General features: G+C 37.9%; 1 pseudogene; it reads right to left on the bottom strand.

Moving 5' to 3' along the window:
- Window positions 1-3534: 3534 nt before the first annotated feature.
- On the bottom strand, window positions 3535-4743 carry LOC100509370 (39S ribosomal protein L21, mitochondrial-like; annotated as a pseudogene).
- Window positions 4744-8738: the final 3995 nt, after the last annotated feature.

Below are 8738 nucleotides of genomic sequence, written 5' to 3'. Positions count from 1 at the left end.
ACAGGCTTATTTTCAGAAGATATGTATGTTAGTTTCCCATTGCTGTTGTAACAAATTACCACAAACTTGGTGGCTTGAAACAACACAAATCTGTTATTTTCCAGTTCCGGATGTCATAAGTCCAAAATCAGTCTCAGTGACTAAAATTAAGGTGTAGGGAAGCTCTGTGTTCCTTCTGGAGGCTCTGAGAAGAGAATCTGTTTCCTTATCTTTTTTAATTTCTAGAGGCTGCCTGCACTACTTGGCTCGCAGTCTGCTTCCTCCTTGTCAGCTGAGTCCTTTTCATGCTGCCATCTCTCTGGTTCTCTCTCTCTGCCTATATTACCCATTTATAAGAACCTTTGCTTTCATATCGGTTTACCCAGATAATCCAGGATAATCTCCTCATCTGGAGGCCAGGTGATTACCAACCTTAATTTCATCTTCAACCTTAATTCTTTTCCATTTAACCTAACATATTTGTAGAAGAAAACAGAAGGTATACAGATTGGAAAAGAAGAAATTAAACTGTTCATAGTGACATAATTGTCTGTGCAGGAAATCTCAAGGAACTGACAAAAAGTTCTTGGAACTAATAAATGAGTGTTGCAAGGTGACAGGATACAAGGCGAATACACAAAAGTTAATTGCTTTCCAATATACCAGCACTGAACAATTAAAATTTGAAGTTAAAAACATCATTTACAATAGCACCCAAAACATGGAATAGGTATAAATCTAACAAAATATGTACATGACCTCTATGTAGTAAATTACAATGCACTGATGAAAAACATCAAAGAAGATCTAGGTAAATGGAGAAACATTCCATGTTCATGGATTGGAAGACTCCATATCATTAAGATGTTATTTCTTATTAGCTTCATCTATAGATTCAACAAAATCCCAGCAAGTATTTTGTAGATACCAACAAATTTTGAAATTTATGTGGAAAGGGAAAAAACATAGAATAGCTAACCCTATACTGAAGAAGAACAAATTTGGAGGACTCATACTATTTAACTTGAAAACCTACTATAAGGCACAGTAATTAGTACAAAATGGTACTGGTGAAAGAATAGCCATATAAATCAATAGAACTGAACAGAGAGCCCAGAAATAGACTCATACAAATATAGTCCACTGAGTTTTGACAGAGTAAAGGTAATTCAATGGAGAGAGCATAGATTGTTCAACAAATATTGCTGGAACAATTGGATGCACATATGCAAAAAAAAAAAAAATCCTAGACAAAACTCATGGCATTAAAGCTATAAAAATGAAAAACCAGTGAAAAAATTTAGATCAAATACCAAAGACTTATTATTTTTGAGTCCTTGCATTGCTGTTGTTTACTAATTGTATGGGACTCTTTTTGGGATGCTAGAACGCTAGGAGACTTACACTTGTGCATTCTTTCATGTTCCTCTGAGGAAGACTGTGACTGATGCCAACAAGATGAACTGTCTGAATGGAAGCTGACTTGGCAGCTGATTCCAGGAAGGATAATACTGTGATTTTTCATTTTTGCTTGAAATGACAATAAGTAATTGTGGGACACCAAAACTAGAAAAAAAAAGGATTATAAACTAATTTTTGAGAAAGGAGAAAAGAAACCTTGTTATATTGGAAATATCAATATGGAATTGACTTAAAAAAAAGGTAGTTACTTATTCTGCTTTCAGTACAAGGGTCACTTATTTGAAATCACTCTGTTCTGTCCTGACTATTAAGGTAAAAACAATTCGTTGTGTATTCTTGTACCTAGATTTGAATTTCTTTGCTAAAGAAGCAAAGAAACAAAATTTCTTTGGTAAAGAAGCAAAGAAACAAAATTTCTTTGGTAAAGAAATTTGATATCACATTTGGAATGGAAAAGTTCAAGTTGAGCTCAGGATATCTTGTGGCCTGTTATTTGTCACCTGATATTTTATTAATATTACCATCTTTCTTGCCACAGTTATGCAAGTAGCTTTATGCCGCCTCATTTATTGAGTATTTGGTATTATGCTAGCCTCTGCTAGGCCTTTATTTGTTATTATTATATTGTTAATATCATAGTATGTGGTCTGTGACAGGCTCAGCACTAGCCCCTGTTGACTTGCCTAAAAAAAAGCACCTGTTGATCAATCAAAGCTGTGTATTAAGCCTACTATAGTAAGCTTGACAAAGTCTTACTAGGTCTCAGAACCTAGAGGTTCAGAGGAGGTCAGGAGGATATTTATAGGGCTTGGGGCTATGGGATCAAGTGGTTTGAGAAAAGTCTTTTAGTAAAGGGAAACTGAGATTGGGGAATCTGGTATGTTGATTTAGGTCTGGTGGAAATGTAAGGCAAGGTTCTTGAAGCAATTCTTGACATATAAGTAGTCATTTGATAATTGTTTACTCAGGGGAGCAATCTACTGTCCTGAGAAGGAGGTCGTTTGTCCAGTTAAGCAAACGATTTGTTCAGATAAAATGATTTTCAATACTTTTCTGAAGCAAGCAGTGAAATTATTTACTGGTTTGTTTAAGTCATCTTGACCAAGGTGGCATTCAGCTTCAGTTCTGCTAGTTAAGCTATATGGACACGGGTGGTCATAGTTCTCACCATGACCCATTTGTCAGTCTCCTTTGTGACCTCTGACTCCTGGGTTGATGTGCGAGGTCTATTTTTGATACATTCTTATCAAGACATAGAGCTTAACTCCTCAAAATAACATACTCACACAAAAGCATTAATACTCAGCAATTCAGAATAGTTTCTGAAGGTGTCGGAGGGTTTTTTAGGGAAACACGATTGTCAGCATTCCAGAGATTTTCTTTTTCCAAAGTTCTGCCTCAGCTGCACCATCATGGAGAGGGGAGAGTTTTCTCTTTCCTCTACACAGTACCAATTTCTTTTCCTTTCCAGGATTTCCTCCCAGGAACTTCCAATTCTTCACTCTTATTATCCAGAGTAGCTTCCTCTTTTCCTTTGAAGATTTGACTGGAATGGAATCCATTCCCTAAGGTTCAGTTTCCAGTGTAAGTTTATCAAATCATTTCCCACAAAGCCAGGCTTCCCCATACAAAATCCTTGCTACTAAAAAGAATTTTTTTTTTTTTAGTTTAGTAGCTTTCACATTTTTCATGATAATTTATGTGTTAGACATTATCACATAGTTACACTAAATGGATAATTGATTGAAAGAATTGAAGAGGGTTGAGAAATCTTGATTTGTCTGTAATATAATCAGCATCTGAGTGCTCTGGGAGAAAATACAAGGCCAGAAGTGCCTTATCCTTTTCTGTTTACCTAAAATGAGAATCTGGCTGCTCCATGACAGGGCTTCTTTTGGGCAGATGGTGATGAAGGATCAAAGGTGAAAGTGCCTTCACCAACTGAGCTGCATTTTATATGCATTCTATTTAATCTTCACAACAATCTTATCAATGAGGCTTGGAAACTATAAATAACATTCCCAAAGTTTTGCAGCTAAAGAGATCTAAGTCTAACTGAATCCTGAACAAGAGCTGTTAAGTACAGCATGTGCTCACTAGTTGCTCATTAGTATAATTTTACACTAGCCCATTACACATTATTGGGGGTGGCCATACCCAAGATTCTTTTTTTCCTTGGAAAGCAAGAGTTTATTTTTATATTTCTGCAAATACTAACTCGGTGACTACAACAAACACAGAGCAATCTCAATGCTGTTTATCCGGAGGATGGTCTGAGGGGTCACAATGAATTATTTCTTCTTGAAGCTTTTCCTTCTCCTAAATCTCATAATGACTCTTGTCCATGATTCTGTCTTTTCAATGACTATGGCTTCTACTCAAACAAGATCCTTTCTGAGGAGTGGCTTGCCAAGCAGTGTGAAGTTGTCTGCCCCAACCAGCAGGACCTTCTTCAGTAGAATTCTCTCTCCACATGCAAGGTCTAGTCCGTTTCCAATTAAGGTGACCTTCAGAGGTCACCTTCCACTGGTGACTGGCAAAATGCACCATGGGAAAAAGCCTGCCATCTTTCCCCGTGGCGATGTAAAGTTACATCAGAGAACCATTGACATCTTGGTTACGGCCACCCCCAAGGATATGTAATAGGCTAGTGTAAAATTATACTCATGAGCAACTAGCAAGCACGTGCTGTACTTGTTTGGGATTCAGTTAGACTTAGATCTCTTTAGCTGTGAAACTTTAGGGAAGTTACTTATAGTCTCCAAGCCTCATTGATAAGATTGTTGTGAAGATTAAATAAAATGCATACAAAATGCTTGGAAGAGAAACAATGCTCTGTAAATGCCTATTATTATTATTGTGATTTTTGTTGAATAAATCAATGAATCACTGTCATTAGCTTCGTCATTCTGGCAAGTTCTGTTCAGTTTTTCTTGATCTGAAAAATTTTCCATTTCTAGAAGAACTGAGAGAGGAAGCAAGTTGCAAAAGAAGTCAGTAAGTCAGAATCCCTGGATTGTGTTTAGTTTAACTCTGTCTTCTTTGGCATGGTGCACTGTTACTTAGGCTCCAATGTAAATTCTGTGAGGTCTTACATCTTAGGATCATCAGGGAGTGGGACTGCCGTGCATAGGGCTTGCAAAACTCACCTAGCTTCAGGGATTTGGTCACGAAAGGGCAGAGCACCCTGGCGGTTGGTGAGACTGTGGTGTGGCAGTTTTGAGGAGAAAGGGTGGGAGCATCTAGACCGTGATCCAAATCTTGGAGACAAGGGCGGCAAGTGTGATTTTGAGGAATCCATCTATAAAAGACGAGGCCACCACTGGTGAGCGGGGTCCCCATGGTGGCATCTAGTCCTTTTGAGCAAGCACTGACACAAGGGCGATGAGGATCTGAGTACTGACCAGCATACCTGATCAAATGCACTGAAACAGCTTGAGAAGAGGAAGGGGCAGGAAGTCCTGGGGCTCGAGAGGTCCAAACAGCATCAGACTCTTCTCTGTTGCATCAGGTCCTTGCTAAACTGCTGTGGATGTAAACTGATGTGACTGCTATGGGCCCTGCCCATATCATCAGTATTTGCTCAAGACCTGGGGTAAAGGGGTTTGAGCAGGCTGAGACTACAACCACAGAGAGCTGGGAAAATGACATATAGGGGCCTGATGATATGCTTTAGATAAGAAAAGGTACACAAATTGTGAAAAGATTTGTAAGAAGTCCAAATGAATCAGTGATCATGTTTGGATAAACACTCTATTTAATTGAGGTTATGATTTTTAGAGGGCAATTGCTTTTCAGAAATACCAAGTATTTTTGGAGATCTGACACTGTCACTCTCACCATCTATGTGACTTTGACTAACTCAGGATCAAATGACATAATATTTGTGACTTCAAATGGCAAAGTTCTGTGTAAATGTGAGCTATGACACTAACATAGTTTCTGGAAGGAGCCTTGTAATATTCTGGGTGCCAGATTCATGAATTGTAGGAGATAATGAAATGTAGTAGATTTTTCTGTTTCTTAAACTTCTCTGATGCTTAAATAATCAATTAAGATCTAATTTCATGAATTTAAATCTTGTTAGTGCTTATTCTCAAATATTGCCTTCAGAAGGATTTTGTGGTTCATGTTAAGAATTTGTAGTGGAATTGTTTCGAATTTTCAACTCATTGTTTTTCCTCTGTATTTGTTTGATCTTGGACCATCCCTCCCATTGAAATAGGCCATTCTGTGCTAGTTGTCAAGGAGAACTGATATAACAATGGAAAATGGAGAAAAACTAGGTCTCCACTTTCAAAAGCCTAGGATGTTAAAAAATAAAAAAGACTTATAATATAGACAAACAATTTAAGAGAAAGCATCCTGAGCTAGAGGAGCAAGTTCTACCCTAACCCTCAGATTAATCAAGAACTCTTCTGGCCGAAAATACTAGGGGAAACTGGAAATAAGGTGATGGGGGAGGATAAGTTGGGGAGCTCTGGGGTCACAAAGCTGGAACAGAGAGAATCATATGTCCCATAATGGAGTCGCTATCTGGAGGTTAGCCAGCTTCTACTTGAGCAAAGTAACCATGTGTCACCTAGACTGACACAAAGAGCATTATTCTAAGGGACATGTGCTTCCATTTTCACCAGAAGATTCTGGGAAACAAACTCTATTTCAGGCTGGAAAAATCTGTTATTATCTCACCAAACACTAGAATATGATTTTGTTTTGTTTTTCTGTTTACATTTTAACAAATATAGTTGATACTCTCATTCACTGCCGTAGTGGCAATTAAAAAAACAATGCACTTGCTCTTTAACCATCCAAAAAAGTGGTATTAACGATTCATGTCAAATGAACACTGAAATTTTTATGAGTTCATGTAATTTATACAAACTACTTTGGGTGCACCAAGACTTTAATTAGTATAGATAGAAAAAAAATAGGATTGCAAACAATAGCAAAATTATGGCTAGGAATATGATTATGCCTGATAGAAGGTTTTATGGGCTGGAGTATGTTTTTGGTGGAATCCAACAGCAATGTTGATAAATCTGTCTCCTGTCATTGCATCCTGCTTGGGGACACCCACTAGCAGATGTTCAGATTCACCAAGGATTATTTGCACATCATTAGCATGGAGGAAGGTGATCTAGCTGCTCTCTAAGAAGCACTAATTATCAACATATTCATTGGGGCTTATGACACCTCAGCATGTTAATGCATTACTTCTGGGTCTTTACAAATATGCTAATCCTATTTGCTACTCAGTTTTCCTGAGGGCTTTGCATAAGTCACTGGAAAGCTTTTGAAAAATTGAGACATCAGCATCCATTGGTGAACTAATAGAGACCCAGCAAACTAATGTTCTATAATTTAGGCCTTCAGGTGCAGGGAAAAAGAGCCAATATTGTGTGTCACAAAACACTTTTTGAAAAAATGCTAAACACATATACTGTAGTGTTTCATGGTTGTGTGGGTGGTTCTACTTTATCTTAGACTGGTGAAGTGAGAGTTGTCTTTATTTTTGAAGAGCAGATGACATGAAATAAACAAAGAAGCCACAGCAGAATAAGTTTCAAACAGGGGAAAGTGTAGTACGCTGACTGAAGGGAAAGCAAACTTTTTTGTCTCTGAGTTGGGGGTACACAACCAGGCATGTACCCCATGGGAGGAGCAAGAACAGGACCAATCAATTCAATGGGAGTATTTCACCAGTCACTAACATAGTAATTGCCCAATTCAGTTTACTTACAATGTTTGGTCATTAGGGTATGTGTGGGTAAGCAAATTCCATTTTTATTCCTCTTTTTCAACCTCATGTGATTTTACAGCACTGGTACTTGACCACAGAGATAGAATCTGTTTAACTACTTTGACACCATGCTGCTTCCAATAACCCAGGAAATGTTTTTTTTCCTTTGTAAGCCATTCAAAGACCATATTGATGTATATTATGTCCTGGTTAAACCATAGAATTCAGTTTTTGTCCTAATGCATATGGGCTCATGAAAATAGTTCACCTTCAAGCCTATTATTTATTCAGTGCTAAAATCCTACAGGTAGTAAAGAAAGGGAGAAAAATTTAAGTTGGTGGAGGAAAACAAATTAATCTTTGCATCTCATAAGATCTTACCTTGTGATTTAAAAAGAAGTACGAAGTGGAAAGAATGTCCCTGGAGCCTCACAAAGGTATACTCTGTGTATCCCACAGAACGGCATACACAGACAGTGGCTCAAAATTACCTTAACACAATTATGAATTTTACATGAAGTTTCAAGAAATTTATTCTGATTTACCAAGAATATTTCTTTCCATGTGAAAATAACATCAGTAATTAATTATTGAGCCTTGCTAAGAGCTTTCTGGTGTCCAACATGATTTTTCACTACTTTAGGTGGAGAATTATCTTAGATGTTGTAGTGGGGTCTCTAGAGGTCCCTGCATATGCCCCATGGAGATGTGAACAATCTAGAAAAATTGAGGGAGGAATATTGTCTGCATACGTTGAACCAAAATGATTAGTTCTAGGGATAGAGATTTTCAAGCAGGTAGGGAAGATGAAGGCTCCCCATTAACCTCCATTATAATCTGCCAGATGGAGATAAATACACTACCTACAGGGCCACTGTATAAATTAAGATAAATTATGTGTGTAAATTGCATGAGACATGGGGCAATTCTTCATTGCACAAAACTGTCTCATGCATTGCAGGAGTTCTAACCTCATTGACTTCCCCACCCACAATACTCCAGTAGAACCTACGAAATTATTGTGACAATCAGAGTTGCTCACAGTACATTTCCAAAATTACTTGGAGGGTGGGGAGATGGCTATCACCCACTCAGCCCTATGACCATTGGACTAATAGAATTTTATGGAAACTTCCACACCTGTGCATGCATGAAGCCATAATTTTGCAGCCTTGCTTTTCTCTGGTTTCTAATCAATGGCATATGATTAATCTTCCAAGGAGTTTGACAAGATCATTTCAAATATTTTCAAATTAATATTTTTCTCTCATTGAGGGTACTATGTAGAAGGCACTGAAAACTCTGGGGTAACAAGAATCATCAATATGAGTAACTGATCTTGGGTGGGTTAGGGGCACCAGGAATTCTGGGTAATTGGGGCTTAGCTATTTTTGTTTTTAATCAGTAAGTTTAGGGACTATCACTAGAGTAGAAAATGCTGAGTAACTGGAAAATGACATGTTGGAAACTCTGGCTCAGGAGTTAGGAAATCCCCACTGTCAGTTTCCCTAGGGTAATATACTGGGTTGAATTGGATGTAACTGAAGGGGCCAGACCTCATAGCTGTATTAGTCTGCAAGTGTGACCATGTCTA

Source organism: Homo sapiens, chromosome 12 (genome assembly GCF_000001405.40).
Source record: "Homo sapiens chromosome 12, GRCh38.p14 Primary Assembly".
Taxonomy (NCBI): Eukaryota; Metazoa; Chordata; class Mammalia; order Primates; family Hominidae; genus Homo; species Homo sapiens.
This window is presented reverse-complemented; position numbering and strand designations above follow the sequence as displayed.